This window comes from Homo sapiens, chromosome 2, assembly GCF_000001405.40.
Source record: "Homo sapiens chromosome 2, GRCh38.p14 Primary Assembly".
Classification (NCBI taxonomy): Eukaryota; Metazoa; Chordata; class Mammalia; order Primates; family Hominidae; genus Homo; species Homo sapiens.
In genome coordinates this window covers 191,614,364-191,637,948 of record NC_000002.12, presented here as the reverse complement: position 1 = coordinate 191,637,948, position 23,585 = coordinate 191,614,364, and the positions used below count along the sequence as shown (strand labels likewise).

General features: G+C 39.4%; 1 long non-coding RNA gene across 1 annotated transcript; it reads right to left on the bottom strand.

The window, feature by feature from the left end:
- Positions 1-445: 445 nt before the first annotated feature.
- Positions 446-22,929, bottom strand: LOC124905959 (uncharacterized). Its single transcript, XR_007088692.1, has 3 exons — positions 22,780-22,929; positions 2,260-2,446; positions 446-625 (listed from the first exon to the last, which is right to left on the bottom strand). It is a non-coding gene; the product is annotated as an uncharacterized LOC124905959 (long non-coding RNA).
- Between the last annotated feature and the right edge of the window lie 656 nt (positions 22,930-23,585).

Below are 23,585 nucleotides of genomic sequence, written 5' to 3'. Positions count from 1 at the left end.
CCTTCTGAAACAGAGTAAACAGAAAGCAAACTTCCTTTGATGACAGACACATGACTGTCATTATGGGTTAGTCACTGAACTATGCTCTCATACCCACAAGAGCTACAGAGATGGGAGAACTTGTTTGCCCCAGCATTAAATAACCCCACAATGCTGCCTCTTGAGTTCTTGGTTCTGCCTTCATGTCTCTCCCTTCTCTGTCCAGCTGCCTGTCTCTAACTTTCTCTATTTCTAGAGAATAGAGAAAGTTATTTCTAATCTGCCAGAAACTAGGAAATCAGATAAGCCTGCTTCCTAGAACTGAGAAATCAGATAAGCCTGTTTCCTAGAACTAAATGTCTGACATAATGTTCTGTGAGAGAAGTGCATGAACTTCCATGCATACTTGGCTATTGCTTAGGATGCTTTTGGCTGCAAATAATTGAAAACGCTGATTCATCATGGCTTAAATAACAAAGAAATTTATTGCCTCCCAGAACAAGAAGACTCCAAGTAAGATACAATCCAGGAAGGGTACTACAGGCTGCATTTTACTCCTGGGGGATTCGACCAGCTCTGTCTTCTCCCACCGTTGGCTTCGTCTTCCAGCTGGTGGCAATATGGCTGCCGTGGTTCCAGGGCCACTCTAGATGCACCAATGTTCCAAAAAAGGAGAGAGAACATCAACTTCTGTGTGTCTTTTAGGAGAAGGAAACCTTTTCCAGAGGCTTGCCAGCTGACTTCCCCCAAAGAGACCAGAATTGCCCTTTCCTAAGTCAACCACTGAATAAAGGAATAGAATTCTCAAGGTTGACTTTGGCTAACTAGTATCCATCCTGGATCAAATTGAAATTCTCTTGGGAAAAAGAAGAGGAAAAGTGGACATTGGGAAGAAAGCAACGTATGTGCTAGAAATGAGAATTATTTGTCTGCTTATGATTTTATAACTGTATCTACAATGAGTTAAGACTTGGTGGAACAGATCGACTTTTAGAAAAGTGAAATATTATTTTAAAATCAAATCAAATGGTAACCAGAGATATTTAGTGAAAAACTAGCTTTGACATGAACCTAAAAATGGAGACAAAGTTTGGTGTTGCTTTCATGTGAATATTACAGCACTTGAATGATTCAACCTAGAGTTCATAGTGCATTACAAGGAAATGTACAAAGAAAGGGGCTGTTGAGAGGAAAGTGACACAGGTGACTGTGACTTCTTATGAAAGCCAGATACCCTTCAAATGTCTAAAGGCAAATATATTAAGTGACAGAAATGTCCCAAGAACAAATATTTTCTTCTTGGAGCATATTAGAAAGATCTTAAGATCTAGACCACTCTCTGGGGATAAGCAGCCATGGATATATTAGGCAAATTTGTTTGTACTTTGCTTCTTTCTTACAGCTCTGGAAAAACTTCTCCCTATATAGGGACCTCAAATTACCATCTCTTCAATTAACATAGGAATATAGATTAAATATTCTTCTGGATCCACTAATAAGCCCTGCTCATTTCACAGAGTTTAACTTTGCAGGAAGACATCACTACTCCTTTGATGTGGTCCCTGACTCACCTCCCCAGCTCCAAGCTTGATTTGACATTCCTTCTCTGTGCTCCCCTAGGACTCAGTGCCTACTTCCAACAACAAACTTACCACACTGGATTGCAATCTTCAATTATTGTTTGTCTTTTCCCCTAAATTCCAAGGATCTTGACAAAGGAGCTAGGTTCTATTTATTTTTGTATCCACAGGGTCCCAGTACTTAAGGAATACCTTTCAGAAGGATGGATGAATATGAAGAAACTAAGGAGCAAAGGAATCAAGGATTTCTTCCAGTCCACCTGGGAAGTTAGCTGCATAGTTAGAAATAGAACTCTAGACTCCTGGCCTGTTTTCCAAACCACAGATATGCTTGGTTTATGCAGGTAAGGTTTTAGTTTGGGGTGTTGTTTTTAAACAAACGCTGTAAAACTATGCTAGGGGCAGGCAAAGTTTGTGGGTATTAGAGACCAAATGACCGTGAAATCATAGCATCAGTATGTGCGGTGTTTTAGGAATGTCAATGTGGCTCAAAAAGAATTTCTGTGAAAAATATGGACTCTCAACTCTCCTCTCCAAGGCATCTTTAGTTACTAACCAGTTAGGAGACTGAGCCCCAAGCCTGTCTCTTACCCATTCCATCCCAATGTATACGAAAGGCTAGATGCTATGAATGTGGTGATAACATCTTCCAGAAACCTCCATCATTCATTTTATCCTTGTGACTTCTCTGGTAACTCACCATCTTAAAGGATGAAATTTTCTTTTTACTGCAAAGTTTCAGAGTCACTTCAGACTTCAGTGAGATCATAGCATGCGTTTCTCTTGGACTAGGACCAGGCAAAGAGTCTCACTGAGTCACAGTCAGGGCAGGGACTCCCTCCATCCCCAGGCCAGCCTTATTATGTACAAATGTGCTACCTTGTCACCTAAAGTATAAATGAAGTAAAGGTTTATTCCTGTTCCAGTTTCAATTTGACCAAGCTTCCACCACAGCCATACACCTGTTACTGCATTTGTTATTATGCTGTAGAACTTTCTGCAGAATATAACCCTTCTCATTCCTCATATTATACAATGGACATATTCCAGAAAGTAGACTAGCCCCAGGATTGATGAAAGCCTTCTTTTTGCTTCACAGCTCAGGACTTTTGCGAATTATCAGCATATTCAGTCCTGACTGGAAATGTCAAAATGTTTCAAATTCACAAACTATAGCAGATAATTTGGCTGAAAACAATTTGGCTAAATGAAATTTTGCCAAAGATAATTTGATCAAATATAAAGTACTTATAGTTTACTTTAAACTTTATTTTAAAAGTAACTTTGTCAACAGAACAATTGGTACAAATAATACTTATTGAAAATGGGTGAATACAATCACTGGTTTTTCAGTGTTGGTAATTTTAGTGTGTATGTATCACAAGGTAGTGAGGCAGTTCTCTGCGTCATCAGCATTTTTGTCTGATTGTCACAACTGGTTCCTTTTTTGTCAATTATTTATGTTATTTGCTTCTTACAATACTGAAAAGTTGGAAAAGAGAATTGTTCAACAACAATATATATTTGAAACAACCTAAATAACCAACAAAATTGGACTGGCTAAAACCTAAAGAGCAAGTAATAGGGAAATCTATTAAAACTGGGAATTATATATTTTGTTCCGTGCTTTATTTTATTATTTCAGTTCTTTGTTTATTTTCCCCGGTATAAAAGCAATGTTACTCAATAAAAGAAATTAGAAAATACAGATATGCAAAAAAAAAAAAGGGGGCATTGTAAGTCACCTACCTGGTTGAAACTTTGAGTAATTTCCTCTCAGGTCGTTTTTAATGTGCCTACACACATACACATATATACACATGGATAAACACACACACACACAACCCTGACCCCCTGCAAAATAGGATCATGCCATAACAATGCTTCATAACTTTCAATATAAACCATATATAAGCAAGCTTTAAACTGTTGGACTTTTTGATAATTTCAACTAATATTCTATTGGCCAGAAACAAATTAAGGGTTATTATAATTATAAATAGAAAAATCTGATATGTGGACAAAATGCTTAAAGCCACATAAAGGGTTGTGACTCAATCCCATGATTAATACTAATTACTAATATATTTTAAATCCAGTTCCCATAAATTAAGACTTTTAACCATATTGTCCTATTGGCTACTTTTCTTTGGAACATATTGTTTGGTTTCTATTTGCTTGTGATCAAATCACTTTTGAGCGAATTATTGGGACATGCAGCATCAGTTCAGTGTTAAGCTAGGTCATCCTTCCAATATCATCCCACCTGAGATGTCCGTATCAGTCATTTCCATCCTATTTGTTTTGATGCACACAACATCTGAGTGTTCAAAATAGTGTTCACTATGAGCCTTGTTTCAAAAAGAATTTTAGGTGTCTTTCACAAGCATATTCAACAGGACAACATTAAAATTTTTAAAAAACTGAGTGAAGGCTACACAGGAACTCTCTGTTCTATGCTTGCACTTTTTGATAAGCCAAAAATTAATTCAAAATAAAAAGCTTTTTTTAAAAAAATAGCCTGAAGGCCAGACACAGTGGCTCACACCTGTAATCCCAGCACTTTGGGAGGCCAAGGCAGGCAGATCACCTGAGGTCAGGAGTTCAAGACCAGCCTGGCCAACATGGTGAAACTCTGTCTCTACTAAAAATACAAAAATTAGCCAGGCATGGTGGCGGGCACCTATAGTCCCAGCTACTTGGAAGACTGAGGCAGGAAAATCACTTGAACTCACGAGGCAGAAGTTGCAGTGAGCCGAGATCGTGCCACTGCACTCTAGCCTGGGCAACAGAGCAAGACTCCATCTCAAAAAAAAAAAAAGAAAGAAAGAAAAAGAAAGAAAGAAAAAGAAAGAAAGAAAAGAAAGAAAGAAAGAGAGAGAGAGAGAGAAAGAAAGAAAGAAAGAAAGAAAGAAAGAAAGAAAGAATAGCCTAAAATATACACAGATTAGAGAGACATCATTTTCCAAAACTAAGAGAAATCAAGCCATACACACACACAGATATTGATAAGACAAGGCCAATATGAGAATTAGTCCACAGCAGGGCACACTCTGGGGTTTCACACAATTACTACCATAGTCGAGTAGAAACATGAAATGGTATTCAATAGGTCAGTAGGGTGAGTATAGTTAACATTAATCAATTGCACATGTCAAAAAAGCTAGACGAGAATAATTTGAATGTTCCCAGTATAAAGAAAAACTAAATATTTAAGGTGAAGGATATCCCAATTACCCTGATTTGATTATATGAATGTATCAAATTATCACATATACCTGAAAATATGTATATCAAATATGTATCAATTTAAAATATAAAAAGAAACATGGTTGTGACAAAAATCACATTATCATGTGTAAAAATGTACTGGTTTTTAAAAAAAGCAAAAGGTTTTCTACACTTGGGTCTAAGAGAAACTTTTCTGTGGGTTTTCCTAAAGTGAAAACCAGGTGATATAGAGGTTGCCATTTTCAACAACACCCTAACTCTAAATACAATCATGTCCTGGAGAAGCGAGAATAGGATCCTGGATTTAGACAGAAAGGGCAGAGCACTTAGATTTTAATAGTCATGAGCTATTAAGACATATATTTTAAACAATTTTCTTTTTAAAAGAAAAAAAAGTCTAACTGTGGGAGGAGTGGCGTAAAGAATGTTTCAGGAAACATCATCCTACCTGCCTTGTCAGGAGGGCTTTTAAAAAATTAAATACTAGATAAGACAAGCAGACGCAATATGCAGGTCCATATTTCCCAGCTATCAGCCAAGGCTGAGAAGCAAGACTCAAGGCACTAAGAAGAAATGGAGAAGCATAGTGTTCCCTTAAAATACCTGACATATCTCATGCTGGGAAACACTGCCTGCCCTGTTTATGTGTTGGGTTTTTTATATAGGCCTGTTAAAAAATGGAAGGAAGGCCCAGCCTATCCCAAGCAAAATCAGACAGGAACCGAAGTTGTGGCACCTGTTTGCCTCCCCTTGTAACTTTCTCCCCCTCCCAACTTAAAAGGATGCTGCCTTCAGACTGAAAAGAAAAGGATGGATGCTTAGGATACAATCCAAAGAAGAATGAGGGCTAAGGGAAGTGTGAAGCCCAGCCATGGAGGTAAATCCCCAAGGGAACAAAATCCAGTGGGGCCCAGGTGGGCTTGCATGAGCTCCAACTGGGGGAAAAAAGGAAAGATCCCATGGGCCTCTTTTCCTGGGCCCAGTTCTATTCTCAGACTCTTCCTCTGGTAAGGGAGGGTGGAGAGGGGGCTTCTTACCACTTTAGACTCATAAACATTCTCCTGTCCTTTCCTCCAAGAGATCAAATCCTTACTTGGTATTATTTACACTTAGCCTCTAATGTGATGGAGCTTTTAAACTAGGATCGGCTGTCAGCAAGTCTGCTAGAGGTTATTCTAGAGTTTATGGGGATTGGAAAGGAGTGGGTATTGTGTAAGAATCCAAGCTTCCTACTGACAGCCCTAGGGCTTGGAGCCCAGCCAACCTGAGCACAGGTCTCCTAGCCTAGCTACTTTTCTCTGCTCTCACCCCATTTTTTTTCTCTTCCCCTCCACTCCAAGATGCTGGGCATGCAGGATCCATTCTTACTGAAATTTCTTCTCCAGTCTTTGCTCTGGGTGCTTAGGTCTCTTTACCTGCCCCCTCCCTGCCCCCATCCCAAGCATGACAAGAAAGTCTTCCTATCCTGGACTGGGTGGGCATTGCTCAGCCTCCAGAAACTTGGGTTCTGGCTCTTCTGAGAGTGGTTGGGATGCTGCTGCATAGAAGGAAACAAGAAAGTGAAGCAAACCCAAGAGCCTCAGCCATGGGCATTGGTAAATAAGAAGGAGGCTGGAAATCCTACAAGCTGCAGATCATAGATCCTGATGCCCACTTGCCTCATAATACAGATTCAGGTAAGGAAGTTGAGGTCCTGAGAGACTTGTTCGTGATCACTCATTTATTTATTGCCAAAGTCAAGACTAGAATCCACTTCACGCAAATATCACCCAATTGATGTTGCTTCTTCCATTGTGCTAGATGGAAGCAGAAAACTGTGGTCTTTCCAGAAATACTCATGCCAACAGGAGTACGGGAAAGATATCAGAAAAGCTTTCCAGGGTCTGTGTGGTGGCTCATGTCTATAATCCCAGCACTTTGGGAGGCTGAGGTGGGTGGATCCCTTGAATCCAGGAGTTCAAGACCAGCCTGACCAACGTGGTGAAACTCCATCTCTACAAAAACTGCAAAAATTAGCCAGATGTGGTGGCACAGGCCTGTAGTACCAGCTACTCAGGAGGCTAACCCTGGAGAAGTCTAGGCTGCCGTGAGGTCCCTGCACTCCAGGCTGAATGACAGAGCCAGATCCTGTCTTAAACAAAACAAAACAAAAGCTTTCCGTTGAAACTGTTTATAGCTAGTATGAAACTAACAAAATATCATTTACTAGATTATATATTTTCATAGCAGCAATTTTAAAAACAGGTTAAATTTCACCACTATTTCTTCCTTTCTTCCTGGAATTAGGCATTGTTTTGATAATCTTGGTCAACTGAAAATATTCTCTCTATAACTATAAAGTTGGTGTGAAAGTTTTTTAGGAAAAAATGCTTTTCTATTTTAAACTGAATCACAACACATATGTATAGACCTCAGTTTTTGGAAGAAGAGCTATTTTTAAATAGTGTATAAAATGGCATTTAAAATAAGCCATTTCATCAGAGTTGCCTCCCTTGCCTAACTAACTATTCTGAAACTAATCAAATGATTCAATTATTCAGTCCAAATAAACACATGTTAGTACCTAAGTGTTAGTTTCTGCATGGGACACAAAGAGATGCTGCTCCCACAGAGATCTCCATCTGCAGAAAGGGTTAGATAAGGGCAGAGCAGCTGTCACAGGAGATGGGGGATGAGGGGGGTGAGTGAGCAAAAGGAGTGCAAAAACCTATGGACATGCAAAGGAGGGAGAGAAACAACAAATATTTGTTGAAAAAAATTATCCTAGAATAAATCAGACATTTAGTAAAGGTAGCTGTGGAGGCAGAGGCTTGGGATGAGGCTTGGAGGATGAGAGGGATTGAAAAAAAAATTCCTGGGCTTGCCTCCAGAGCACAAGCATTTAGCAAGTCCAAATATTTAAGATACTGTAATTATTTTTACAAGAATATGTAAAATATTTTAATTTCACTCCTTCTAAAAACAATTATCTCTTTCCACTGTGGTGAACTTATCCAAGTCCCTGGGTCCTAGCCATTTTTGTCAGCCTTTTAATATGAAACCAGAAGGATAGAAATCCCAGCAGCCTGAAGACCTTTTGCTTTTGTGTCATAGTAACCCTGTCCCCGATAGCTCATATTGTGTCTTCATTTGTGCTTGTACTGAGAATGGAGTTTCTTAGGGCTTAACCCACTCTTTCAACAAATATTTAGTGAGCATCTGCTGTGTTCTAGGCATTGCCAGGCACCAGTATCAGAAAGGTGAATATAAATCTTCAGGGAAATGCAAATCAGAGCCACAATCAGGTATCACCTCACAAAGGTTAAGATGGACATTATATTTTAAAAAAAAAAAAAAGTCAAGACAAGTGTGAGCAGGCATGTGGAGAAATTAGAATCCTTGTGCACTGCTAGGGAGAATGTATAATGGTGTGGCTGCTATGGAAAACAGGATGGAGGTTTCTCAAAAAATTAAAAATAGAACTATCATTTAATCTAGCAATCTCACTTCTGAGTATATACCCAAAAGAATTAAAATCAAGATCTCAAAGAAATATCTGTATTCCCACATTCATTATTTATGGCCAAGATAAGGAAACAACCTACATGTCCCTTGATGGAGGAATGGATAAAGAAAATGTGGTATATACATACAATGGAATATTATTCAGCCTTTATGAAAAGGAAAGCCTGCCATATGCAACAACATGGATGTACCTAGAGGACATTATGCTAAGTGAAATAAACCAGTCATGGAAGCCCAAATACCGCATGATTCCACTTGCAGTAGGTATCTAAAATAGACTCAGAAACGGAAAGTAGAATGGTAGTTGCCAGGGGCTGGGGGAAGGGAGAAACGGGAAGTTATTGTTGAACAGGTATAAAGTTTCAGTTATTCAAGATGAATAAGTTCTAGAGAACTACCGTACAACATAGTGCCTTGTAATTAACAACACTGTATTGTGCACTTAAAAATTTATCAGGAGGGTGTATCTTATGGTAAGTGTTCTTACCACAATAAAAAAAAATCAAGCTAAACAAAATAGAAGGGTGAATACACCCTTAAAAAAATCAGGTATAAACAAGGGAGTCAAAGACGTGAAAACGGAAAGGTAGCTGCAGCTACAGGGCAGAACTAAACCACCAGGGCGAAACATTCTGTAGAGGTATTGCAAGAAACAAATTAAGCCACCCAGATTAGGGTCTCAGGCCCATTATTTCCTAAGTACTCCAAATTAGAACAGTATGTACATCCTAATTTTTTTGCCAGTTTGCCAATTTGATAGGCAAAAAAAAAAAAAAAAGTAGTTTATTGTTGTCCCCTAGGACTGGAACAATATCACAGGCTTCTGTCCAAAGTTTCTATCTCCCTAACTCCTGGTTGATCCCCTATGAAAAGTGTCATCTTCCAGTTCTAGTTTTGGAGCAAGCTCCAGGGTATATTTCAAAGGCAACATCAAAAGACCAAGTTGAAAATCAGAAGGTTCCCTATGGGCTTCCTATTCTTTTCTGGTCTGACGTGAGGGCATATCCTTTGGTAAGGAAGAGATCTGTGGTCAAAGAAATGATCCCATCCTTAAAGGTAAGACTAGCTCCAGTTTAACAAAGAGTGCCTTTGTCTCCTGGGATCAAGACAGTACAATACCCTACATACAACACAGTCCCCCAGCATGCATAGGAGGACAGGAGCACACACTGGTCATTTCCCTGCAGAGCCACCTACGTGAAAGGAAGGCTGGTAAGCGCAGGGTATGAGCCATGTCCTCTCCTGCAGATGAGGCGACTAGTGTGCCTGCAGCTAAAGAAAATTCTGGCAATGCATTGGCTTTGTTGGGCCAAACCTCTCCCTGTTCCAGCAACATATTTAGCCAGTTTCCTCACCTACTCGTAAAAAGAAAAAACGCAGCTGGATGACATGTAGCCCCTTCGGGATTTGTAATCAGGCAAGGAAGAGCAAGAGCTAAATAGAAATAATAAAGGTCTCCATTTATTGTGTTGTTTGTAAAAAGCTTTGTTAAGGCATAATTTGCATACCATAAAACTCATCTATTTAAAAACACAATTTAAGGAATTTTAATAAATTGGCAGTTGTGTGAAATTTGCCAACTCTCCATCACCCCCAAAAGATCTTTTGTGTCCACTTATAGCCTATTCCAGCCCCAAAACAACCATGATTCTGCTTTCTGTTTTTTAATAGATTTGCCCTTTCTGGAAATTTCACATAAATGGAATCATACAGTACACAGGTTTTTGCCTTGGCTTCTCTCAGTGTCATGTTATTGAGCTCCTTCAACACTGTAGCATGTATCAGTACTTCTTTACTTTTCATTGCTGCAGAATATTTCATTGTATGGATAGATTTTGTTTCTTCATTCACCAGTTGATAGACATTTGGATGGTTTCCAGTTTGGGCTATTATGAATAAAACTGCTATGAAGGTTCCCATGCATGTCTTTATATGAACATATGTTTTCATTTCTCTCGGGTAGCTAGACAGGAGTAGAATTAGCAGGTTATATGGCAAGTTTATGTTTAACTTTTTAGAAACTGCCAAGCTATTTTCCAAAGTGGCTACATCATTTCCCATTCACAGCAGCAATATATATGGGGTCCAGTTTCTCCACATCTTTCCTAACACTTGCTGTCTTTTTCACTATTATCTTTTTAGTTGGTTTATATGTTTTGAAGACTCAGATTTTTCCCACCCTCCAGGACCAGAAACCAGCATGGCTAAGCATAAGATTTGGGTCCTAAATGGCTGGAGCTCTTGAGGCAGTGGTACTTTGCGAAGAGCATGGTTGTGGAGATGGACAACCACATCCCTGTTACTATAACAAGGAAGGGGTAGAGCAAGGCCAGATACCTCCATTGTCCAATCTCTATTGTTCAAGGCAGAAAAATCAGTTCTTCTAAGGACAAAGAGTTTCCTTCAGATTAGAAATTATCTCAACTTGTTCACGCAAGGATTTGTGAACATTTATGAGCACCTTTAGAGAGAGGAAAAAATATACTCTCATATACTACAAGAAATCAGCTAATTCAACTTCAATATATTTTTTATATCTGTTGCAAGCAAAACATCATGCTGGGAGGAAGATAGAGCAAAACAAAATCTCTAATTAATCAAGTTTAAAATCTGCTCACTCCAGCAGATGGAAGTAGGGAAAAGAGGTAGGATGGGAAGGGGGTGGTACCATTGCCTCTGATAAAAATTGTTGAGTCACAGCACCTTAGCATGTGTCTAAGTCATCAGTGTATGGGGATGTAAAGTGGTAGGAAGTTCAGCAAATGCTTTAAAAAATTAATTTGGGGGTTTTAATAATTATAACCTCAAAGTAGGCATATATGCAGTAACAATTCTGAGAGTTTTAGCTGCCTTCCAATTAGTGACCCTTTAAGAAACTTCTGAATAGATCCATTTATGACTCATTGCTTATGACTTTAAAGCTATTCTAGGGTTTGTCAGCATCTTGTGAAATTAGATGGGGAGGACTAAGAGGAAGGCAAACCTGGAAAATGACACAGTTTTGTGAAGATTAATTTCAGGCTTGCCTTCTGTGGGTAGAGAAGGGATTCAATTGGCTTCTTCATTTCTTACAGAATAGCTTTTCTCATTATCCCTGAGCTGTGAACCAATGGCATGCTAGAAGCCTATGAAGTATGTTTAGGGAGCAAAAGCCAATTGGGTATATTTTTCCCAATTCTACATTCAGTGTCATCTTTAACCAGCAAACACTAGGAATCAGAACCAGTTGTTGAAAATTTGCCAGCACATCACTGCAGAAAATTGTACAAATTCTCCAGCAAGACATTCTGGATAATCTTCCTCTGAGACGAAAGAAGAATTCTGAGGCTAACCTTGGAAGGCAGCTACAACAAGTGCTATAAAAGCCTCAAATGGTTTAACAAATACAAAAAAAAAAAATAGGTATAGCTAGGCTTTTTCTTGTAGAGGAATGATAGCAATAGAGTGCCTCTGGATTCAACACAGAAGCTAACATTAACTGTCGGGGGTAGCCATTGGGAATTAAACTCACAATCTTGTAAGATGGATAAAACAGCTTCATAAATAACTATGATATGAGACAGAAGGTGGTCAGAGGCACAATGTACAAATGAGAGGAGATTATTCAGAGGAGGCAAAAGCTGAGCCCACCGCATGGCCAGGTGTAGGGCCTCTCGCAGGTGAGGAATGCCCGGGATGCACCCATTTCTAAGCCTCCTGTTGTACTAACACAGGAGGAAATGCCACAACAGGATTACAAATATTGTGGTATGTCTTTACTAAATATATTACTACTTTGAATAAACCTATACACAAAATATAATGCTATACAATTGCAATCTTCATAACATTTTAGAAGTTATTAAAATATTAATTAACTGTGCACTACAGGGGGTATGGTTTCAGTGGAAAGTTGTCTAATAAACATCTTTTTTGAAAACTGTTAGTGAATCTGAGTGACTCCTTGTTGAACCTCTGTGGGAGGTCAGTCTAAACCTTAGGGCCATCTTGACAGGAAAGCCCCCACCCTCAGAGCCAGGATTATGGCAAAGTTCATGACGTCCAAGCAGGACTTTGTCATATACAGAAAGAAGCATTTATCCAGCAGAACTTGGATATTTTCATTTTTACATAGGTAAATTACCCTAATAACAAGTGTATCACCCTCGAATACTCAAACAATTTTGTCTATACAGTATTTAATGAGAAAACTTCCACAGCCTTCTATTATAGGTTTTTAAAAATAACGTCACCTCCTGTTGACAAATTCGGAAGTATTGTTACTCTCTGCTCTCATTATGTGACATGGTAACTGACAATACAGTTTTGCCCATTTAAGGTTTTGTCTGCTGCCCGTTCGATGCTGAAGTCACTTCCTGCTGCTGTTGGCACATCTGCCTGCCCCCTGCAGCTGAGCTTTTTCTGGTTGGTGATTACTCTGTACACTGGTTTGCTGCTATTTGGAGAATCAGATAAGCAGCTTGTTTACATTTGTTATGAAGAATCTGTAACATAAGAGAGGGAGCTGCAACCTCTGACCCTGATGGGACTGTATAACCCACCTTCTCCACAGACTTTGTAGGCTAGAGCTGTGCTTGGGAGCTTGGTTGTTGCTGGAAATATGGTGTCTAGATGAGGAGTTTTTAATATACTGTTATGGGCTGAATTGTGTCCCCCTCAAAATTCACATGTTGAACCCCCTATCCCCAGTATCTCAGAATATGATTGTATTTGGAGATAGGGTCTTTAAAGAGGTAGTTAAGTTAAAATGAGTCATTAGTGTAGGTCCTAATCTGATAGGACTGGTGTCCTTATGAAAAGAGATTAGGACACAGACTGGCACAGAGGGAAGACCCTGTGAAGACACAGAAAGAAGATGGCGGTCTACAAGCCAAGGAGAAAGACCACAGAAGAAACCGACCCTGCTAACACTTTGATCTTGGACTTCTATCTCCCAGGATTGTGAGAAAATAATTTTTCGTTGCTTAAGACACTCAGTCTGTGGTGCTTTGTTATGGCAGCCTGAGCTGACTAATCCACTAACCAGGCAGCTTTCACCTGTGGTGCAGTGTCCTGAGATTATGCCTGGAGTAGAGAAAAGTAAGAGTTATCCCATAGGCTCCCCTCACCAAGCCCATGTCTCAGGACAACTCTTTTATTTAACCTGTTGGTATTATTGCAAACTTTAAGGTTTTCTAGGTGTGGAGCCACCAACTCACTGATGAGAAAGGAAGAGATGACTGGACCCTGCAAGGAGACAGAGAAATGAGCTTTGATGTACACAAGAATAATGAGGAATTTAAGCAAAAAAAAAAAAAGTTTCTCCTATGGGAAGGTGGATTCTGAGCTATTAGTTAAAAGTTAAGAAAAACACCAGGAATTGTTGTTAATTCTTTCCTAAATCTATCAGTTCAATTAGCTGCTGAGACCAAAAAAAAGTCATAAATTGTGAGTTTTTATACACAAAACATTTTTTATAAAGCATAAAAGTAAATCATCAGAGTATCCTTGAACAAAAACCACAGTGAAAGATGAATGACTATGTAAAAACCCGATATGAATAATTTTAAAAAGACATCAGATAAAAAGAAAAGGCCTAGAGAGAGAATGAAAATTTGAAGGGAAAGAAGGGACTTAGAAATGAGGACAGAAGGGACCAGGAGAAAGAGAAGGAACAGAACTGCAGTTTTGGAAATTATGAGATAAAGTCTGGGTAGACAGGTGCTGTTTCCTCCAAACCTCAGAGTGCCAGGCCTGATGAAAACTTGTGAAGTTTGAAGCCTTGCTTTAGGATACATGAAAGACAATCAACCCTTGCCTAATAGGTAATAGTCAATATTCTAGTCTTCTCTCAATTATTGGCTGGACCAAAAAAAAAAATGTATATAGATTTGAAGTAGATTTGTATCAGCATATTGATGAATGGATAATATTAAAGGAAACTTAATGTTTGAGAAATTCCTAAGGAGCAGAGGCTGAATCCAGGGTAAACAAACTCACTCGCCCACCATTGATCCCAGAGCCCCTGCCTGAGATAGAACTCACATGTGTCTTCATGGGGCGCAAACCAAAGATACCCTATAAGCCTGGGTGGGGTGGGAGACACACAGGACAGAGAAGCGCTAGGTCTTTACGTATCTTCAAGGGGATTTCATTTTTTGTCTCCTTAATAGCCTTAAAATTTTCCCATCTTCTTAGAAGTGTTAGCCATTTCTAAGAATACACAAATAACAAAAGTATGTTTTTCCACTGTTCCTAAATGTTAAAGCAGAAAAATCTTAAACCAACTTGGAGCCCTTTGAAGTCAATTATTGCCTACTGAAAAGCAGTGTCCTTGTTTCCACATCATGCCTGGCAGGTGAGCTCAGACACAATCTACTGACTCCAGGACTGTTATCCCTGGACTCGGAGATGTCCTTTGCAGATTGACTCCAAAGAAAGCCAGCAGGTCCAGACTTGGTGTGGCTGAACCCCAGGCTCATGAGCTGATATGATTAACACATTATCTTCAGACGTGAGCACCTGCAAGCAAGGGGATGGGGCCTGGCAGAGCTGCTAACAAGTCAGATTCCAAAGAACCTGACAAACTGGAAAAGCAAACACAGATGAGCATGGCCAGGTGTCCATGAATTGACCATTTAACCTCACCTGAGTTTACTTCTCTGGTGACCACACTAGCAAGAACTTTAGCCATGTAACTCACCAACCTGTGAGCGCTAATTAAAGTTTGCTAAGAGCTTTATAATCAGTCCAGACAACTGCTCTGGGAATGCAGAAGTACTCATACATACATAGTGCTGCTCTTAATCTTTTGTTGTTGTTAGGATTCTTCCTGTTTTATAATAATGCTTCAGCACATAATTGGCTGCAAAGATTCTATTTTTGTTGTGGGGTAGGAAGTCCTCATTCACAATACGCACTCTTTTCCTTCTCACAGTGGTGCAATGTAAGCACCATAATGCATGTACACAGCAGGGATGATGGATAGCACTACAACATCCATCCCCTCTCCTCAAACCTCCTCTGGACAGAGGAGTCGGGTGTGAGGTGAATAGTCAAGGGTGGGCTGGAGGTGCTGTCTCTGGGCTGTCACTGAGGTGTTCTCCATGAGCACACATTGGTTGGCATGTGACTCAAACCCAGCCTTTGATTCATAAGACATTTTAGCTCTCATTCTATGACTTGAGATGTGAGTGCTAGAACAAAACAATTGACTAGAGGTGGAAGCCAGGCATTTAACATTAGGATTCATTTACTTCATAGTCTAAAGTATATGCCCTACTATCCCCAACACCCACACAGTCCCAAACACCACATCTTTTTTCTTTTTCTTTTTTTTTTGAGATGGAATTTTGCTCTTGTTGCCCAGGCTGGAGTGCAATGGCATGATCTCGGCTCACTGCAACCTCCACCTCCTGGATTCAAACGATTCTCCTGCCTCAGCCTCCCAAGTAGCTGGTATTACAGGAATGCACCACCATGCCCAGCTAATTTTGTATTTTTAGTAGAGACGGGATTTCTCCATGTTGGTCAGGCTGGTCTTGAAATCCTGACCTCAAGTGATTCACCTGCCTCGGCCTCCCAAAGTGCTGGGATTACAGATGTGAGCCACCGCATCCAGCCAACACCCCATCATTGTTTGGCCATCAGATAATTAATTCTACAAACTAGCTGAGTAGGGGCAGGGGGCCAAGAATGCAAGGAGGCTAACTTTGACCTATTCCATTCTCAAATGTAAGCTAAGTAAACACAAAATCTTTGAATCTGGAGGAAACTTACAGGTCTATCAAGTCCAAATTTCTATACAATATGAAATCTCTTCATTACGTCACCAACATATGGTCATGTACCCTTTGTCCAAATCTCTAAAGACAGTAGGTAGATTTTTTACCCTGAACCTAATGAAACGTTTCATTTGGTGCCTCTCACTGCCAAGGCCTTCTTCCAGGCCCTGTGCTAAATTTTGTATGTATCATTTACATTTTTTTCTTTAAAAGGGCCCCCAGAGTGGGGGCCCTGTATAAGCTTCTGGCCCCACAAAACCTGAGGTAGGGACAATAATACCTTTCCAAAGAGCAATGCAAAATGCTTTCTTACATTGGAATTAAATCTGCTTCTACAAGTACACCAAAAATATCAGAAACATGTTTTCGGTGATAGAGTGATATTTCTGAGATTGAGTGTATTCATTGAGTGAGTATTTAACAGGGTTATCTGAAAGTCCTACATTTAGATTTAAAAAACAGTTGCTCTCTTTCACCCCAGTACCTTCATTCAGGCTGACCCCTCTTCCTAAAAATCTCTCATCTTTATTTTGTCTGATTATCTCCTACTTTGCTTTCAGATCTCAAATCATTAGCTCCTCAAGAATGTCTTCCCTAACTTCCCTGACTAGGACAAATCTTCCTATACCTAGTGTCATCACACTATGCTTCTTCAGGGCACATACCACATTGTAACTTTTACACATATTTGCATGCTTAGATTTCTCTCTAAATAACCCACCAAGCTGAAAGATGCATGAGGCCCATTCATTACCTCCCTTTTCTCACCTCCACAAGCCCAAACTCAGCACAGAGCCTGGCACAGAGAAGACACTCAAGACATTCACAGACTGAATCAATAATGCACAACAAGGGTTAACAGCAATTGGTAAGAAAAGGTCCTCTAGATTTAGGTTAAACATAAATTTAATAAGAACTGAAAAGTCCATGTGATAAGGAATTATATTTTAGCTCATTATGAAGTACATTTTCTGATAATTATTGCTGTCCAACAGTGAAATGGGCTACCTTAAAAGTAGAGTATGACCCTCAAAGGTACATGTTTACAACTAGGAAAGCTTACAATTGGACTAAGATCAGATAGATCATTTAAGATTTGTTTCAACTAGAAATCTTGTGGCCATTGAGATATAGCTTTTGTTAATGGCACGATGATGATCTGCATATGTGTTAATATGGTACTGTGTTTAACAAGGAAGACATTAAGTAGAACAAAACAGTTTCTGTTAGAAATTTATGTTCGGTATAGATAGGAACCAACACAGAGGAGTAACTATATGTAAGAAAATAACAGCACTGGAAGGGGGAACCCAGAAGGAATCTGCAGTCTCACTGAGTACAGAAAGATCAGAGTTCAGAGCGCTTAAGGTGTTTAGGATTTGTAACCCTGAGTACCATCAAGGAGGGAGCTTCAGGGCCTGGGAAATCTACAGAGAGGTCCCTTCAGGTATTTGACTGAGTGCTAATCTGGACAAGCATGAGAGGAAACCACCCAAGGCTGGGGAAAGAACCATGAGAATGAGTAGGCAGAAAAATGTTTGGAACTTACACAAGGCTTGGACTAGTTAATTGTCCTTTCAGCCAGAATAGAAAGACCTCTTAATGCAAAGGACATCAGGTGTTGGCAAACTACAGCTCACAGGCCACACCCAGCCCACAGACTTTTTCAACAGCTCACAAGCTAAGAATGATGTGTATATTCTTGAAGGATTGAAAAAACAAAGAAATATATGCAACAGACAGTGTGTGGCCTGCAAAGCCTAAAATATTTACTATGTGTCCACTACCAAAAAAGTTTACCAATCCTCCAAATAGTCTGTAGACAGCTATCAGTTTTATTATTATTATTATTATTATTATTTCGAGAAACAGTCTCACTCTGTCACCCAGGCTGGAGCGCAGTGTCACGATCTCAGCTCACTGAAACCTCCACCTCCTAGGTTCAAGTGATTCTCATGCCTCAGCCTCCCGAGTAGCTGGGATTACAGGCACACACCACCATATCTGGCTAATTTTTGTATTTTTGGTAGAGACAGAGTTTCACCATGTTGGCCAGGCTGGTCTCAAACTCCTGACCCCAAGTGATCTGCCCACATTGGCCTCCCAAAGTGCTGGGATTACAGGGTGAGCCACTGCACCTGGCTTGTTATCAGGTTAGTAGTAGATATAAGTTAGCCCTAAGATAAAGACTGTCCTGGACCCACCCTAACAAACTTGAGAGCAATCCTCAAGAGGATTCTACTTGTAACTTAGCTAGCAATGAAACAAAAGCCTAGTACTGTTCAATGAAATACAACAAACTCCAGTTTCCTAAAATATAAAATTCATATTGGTCATTCAATAAAAAATTGCCACACATGCAAAGAATAGGAAAATATTACCCTGTATATTAATCTATTGCTGTATAACAAACTACCCCAAGAGTTTGTGACTTCAAACAATAAACATTTCTTATTTCATGTAGTTTCTGTGAGTCAAGAATCCTGGCAGAACACAGTGGGGAATCCTTGTTTCTTCTTTAAAGTGCTTGGGGGCTAAGCTGGAAGACTTGAAGTCTGGGGGCTGGAATTATCTAAAGTCTCATTTATCTATATATTTTGCATTTAGTGCTGACTGTTGGCCACATTTTGTGAGGAAAGAGTTAGCAGAGCAGGTGTGGTCATATATTCCTTGCATGGCTCCAACAGAACCTAGAACCATGATTGATCCTTTGCCAATCACTAAGAATATGGCTCTTGGATGTCAGGGACTGATGATTTTGTTGTGTACACCTGAAGCAATGGACTGTGCTATACTAGCTTTTCAGGTTGCTTTGTATAAGTATCAAGATTAATGATGTGCACCTGGCTTCATTCTTGGAGTCCTGTATTTCAGTTGCCATAGTTGGTTGCATAGCAAGATATGCTTATGTGACCAGCATACCAAAAATTCTTTGGATCCTAGGTAGAGATATTTCACAAATGTTTCTGTAAGTTGCTGCTAGAGAGAAAGTACATCCTGTGTGGCCTCTAATGAAGAAGGACTCTGAAGCCTATACTGGTCCTCTCTGGACTCCGCCCAGTAAAAATATTTATCCTGCTATTTTCGCTGTATCCTTTGCCATAATAAACTGTAGCTGTGAATATAGCCTTCTTGTGAGTCTTGTGAATCCTGACCAACCACCAAATGTGGGTGGTCAACATACATTTATTGCCTCATTGTTTCTGTAGGTCAAGAATCTGGAGTGGCTTGGCTAGGTATTGATTCGAGGTCTCTCATTATCTAGGAGTTAGGCTTGGCCAAGTCTGAAGGATCTGCATCCAAGCCCATTTATGTGGTGTTTGGCAGGAGGCATCAGCTCCTTGCTGCCTAGATTCTCCGCAGAGCTGTTTATGACATACTTTCCCTGAGAGGAAGTGATCCGAGGTGATCCAAGAAAGAGAGAGAGAGAGAGAGGCAAGGGCAGGAGCTGTGACAGAAGCCATAGTCTTTTGTAATCTAATCTCAGAAGTGAAATAACATCACTTTTGCCATATTTTATTGGTCACACAGACCAACTTTGGTACAATGTGAGAGAAGACTACACAAAGGTCTATATACTGGGAAGTAGGGATGATTGGGGACTATCCTGAAGGCTGGCTACTATACTAGAATAGCTGTATTAACATGAGACAAAGTAGACTCTAGGAGAAGGAATACTATTAGTGATAAAGAGAGACATTTCACAACACTAGAGGGGTCAATTTCTCAAGGAAACTAAAAATCTTAAGTGTGAATGCAGAGCTTCATGCCAAATTCTGTCCCAAATAGAGATTTTCTCCATGTGTGTTTATAAAAGGAAACTTTTTGTGGTGGATTTTAGCATATTTCTAAGTCCACAACAGCATCTTCATTGCAGTTGTCTTCATCAACACCAAGGGAATCTAAAAACCTACTTTTTTTCTAATTTTAGAAAATAATTATGAAGATGCTATGACAAAAATGAAAGTTCATTTGTAAATAGCTCTGCTTTAAGTAAAGTACAGTGGGGAAAAAAAAAGTCACCTACGAGTTAAGAAAGGGCATGGGGATTTCAAGAAATCATAGTTCAGCAAGGCAAACAGGAAATCATAACCACAAACCAGGAACAAGGCCGAAGCAGCAGAAGGTGATGTCTAGGTGACGTTTTTTTTTAATGGTTGATAGGCAGGCAAAGTTTGACGCTGATGATGTCTGAGAAGTGAGGAGAAGGTGCTGGAAAGTCTGTCAACCAGGCTGTGAGCACTGGGAACTAAGAATGTGTCCTGCTCACTATTGATACCCTGGTGCCTAGCATAATACTGGGCACATGAAATAACACATGAGTAAATTAATTTTTAAAATATTAACTTTTTTATGAAAGAAACAGCTAATGGAAGAGCCTGCCACAATGTACCAATAGTTTTAAAGACATCATTTGAATAAGAACTCTAGAATATAGACTTTTCTTTTTTTTTTTTTTTTTTTTTTCCTGAAATGGAGTCTTGCTCTGTCACCCAGGCTGGAGTGCAATGGCACGGTCTCAGCTCACTGCAACCTCTACCTCCCGGGTTCAAGGGAATTCTCCTGCCTCAGCCTCCCGAGTATCTGGGATTACAGGTGCACATCACCACGCATGGCTAATTTTTCTATTTTTAGTAGAGATGGGGTTTCACCATGTTGGCCAGGCTGGTCTCAAACTCCTGACCTTAAGCAATTCACCTGCCTCGGCCTCCCAAAGTGCTGGGATTACAGGCATGAGCCCCCATGCCCGGCCGACTTAGTTTTTAAGGTTAGGTTATCTGGTCTCATCCTAATTTCTAACAGCTTTTAATAAAAAAGAAATATCTGGAAAAAGAATAAAAACAGAAAATATCAGATATACCCTGGCATTCAAGATTCCCCATTGTCTGGCTCTACTTACTGTTCCAGATTTAGCTACCGGTTCCACCTTCTGGAAATCTGCCACTCCAATCAAATTGACCAAATACTATATTTTCTTGATTTAACTTGAACATTTCCCTCCCACTTTTTAATATCTCTGAAATCAAGATGTTTTACAATCAGTACATTTGGATTTGACAAAATGAGGTGACCTTCCTTTAAACATGTCCTATTTTTTCTTCCCTTGAAGATTTCACTAATGCGATTTTTTTTAACCTCTTTTACATTTGTTGAAATCCAATCAATCTTTCTCATCTCAGTACAAATCCAAATCTCCTAAAAAGCCGTCCTGGTCAGCTTTTTAAAAGTTAATTTACTTTCTTCTGACTTATACTACTTAATATCATTGTTATATATTTTCCTGTCTTATTTATTTTTCCAGATTATAATAAGAATCCAATAGGCAAAAACTATGTCTCTTACAACTTTGTATTTTCCACAGCAACTAGCACATATTTTCCTCATTTTTATGATCAACAGCTATTACTTAAGTAAATGAATAAATTAATGACTATACACAATTATGCTTAAAGAATACGACTTACTACAAAAATGGGAAAGTTATATTTGTAACAATATGAGATGTCCATAGTACATTGTTAAAGATGAAAAAAACCAAGCTGCAGAACAGTATGTATATAATTACTTTATTTTTACTAAATCTTCAACAATAAATTTCTCCCTAACACATAGAATGTGAACGGTTATGGATATACCTAAAAAGTTGTTTGGAAGATCACAGGCCTAATGGTTAACATCAATTATCTTTGGAAAGTGGAGTTGAGGTAATGAACCTGTGGAAGTTCATGATAGATTTTTTTCCTTTTACTTGTTTACTTCACACATACACGTGTGTGCTCACAGACACATCTATGTTCTTTAAAAAAAAAATTCAACCAAGTATGTGAATTAGTTTTATAGTGAAAATTGAGGAAAAGTGATAAAAAGGAATGGCTCGCTGTCTTTCAGGTATGTAGCTTTATGATGAAGGGGAAAGAGAAAGCCCAAAATTCACTACGTAGAAGGATGTGAGTTATGAGATATGACAACCAAGAAATAAGATTCATTCAGAAAACTGGAGAAGAAAATAGTTTTCTGAACCCAGATGTAGCCAAATTCTGGAGGCTTCTACACTGGTTGATACAAAACCCAGTATCACACAAAACAAAGTGGAAAGTTTAGGGCAGTGGGCCAGAATGGGGAAGTTAGTTATCTTAACAACAATGACCAAAAAAAAGTTCTTTTTTCTTTTTTAAAAAAATTAAATGTTTATGGGTACATACTAGGTATACATATTTATGGGGTACGTGAGATGTTTTGATGCAGTCATGCGATGCATAATAATCACACCATGGAGAATGGGGTAGCCACACTCTCAAGTGTTTATCCTTTGTGTTACAAATCATCCAATTACACTTTTAGTTATTTTAAAATGTACAATTAACTTATTATTTACTATAGTCACTTTGATGTTATTTTAAGGTGTAACTGAAGCAAGATTTCTATTCAAGAGACATCACTCAAATGTATTTTTCTCATAAGAGTGGCCTCATCAGAGGCATATTGCTAGTAGAGAATATTGCCCATTTCTGTGTAATCCAGTGTCATCACTGATGTCAACTAAACATACTGGATGAATGAGATATTTGTACCTTTACCGACTGTAAAAACTTTTTGCTTTCTTTCTTTTTTCCACTGCTAACCATATACCAAACACTATGCTAAGTGTTTTACAGGTTTTATTTGTGCCTCCAACAACCTGTAACTCTCCCCACTTCACAGATGGGGAAGCTGAGGCTTACCTCAGTTTAACTGATGCCAAATCCCTTACCCTTTGCCTCTCCACAGCTGTGTCTTTCACATGATAATACTGTTAAATAAGCCCGAGGCATTAGCTTGAAGTTGTGTCCATACTTTGCATTCCCATATAACAAACTGCAACCTAACTTAATATGTAAACAAGCTGAAACTTAACTTAGAAGTATAACCGACAGCCGAGTTTCAGCCAATCATAGCCAGTCAGTTCATTGAGCCAAGCCCTGATGAGGCAGACACCTAGCTGTAGCCAATCAGGTGATTGCTCTACTTTGCTTCTATGTCCAGATTATAAAAGCTTGCTGCTCACTCTTCTGGGTGGACTCTTCCTAGCTCTTCTGGTTCTGAGTGTTGCCTGGTTCATGAATTGTTCTTTGCTCAAGCTCTGTTAAATTTAATTCCTTTGAAGTATTTCTTTCTTTTTTTTTTTTTTTTTTTTGGAGAGGGAGTCTTGCTCTGTCGCCCAGGCTGGAGTGCAGTGGCTCAATCTTGGCTCACTGCAACCTCCATCTCCCGGGTTCAAGCGATTCTCATGCCTCAGCCTCCCAAGTAGTTGGGATTACAGGCGTCTGCCACCACACCCAGCTAATTTTTGTATTTTTAGTAGAGACAGGGTTTCACCATGTTAGCCAGGCTGGTCTCGAACTCCTCACCTCAAGTGATCCACCCACCTCCACCTCCCAAAGTGCTGGGAATACAGGCGTGAACCACTGTGCCAGGCCTGAAGTCTTTCTTTAAAAAATACCTATTGTTGCTAGACAGCCCGTATATAGAACATTATTCCCCATTTCAC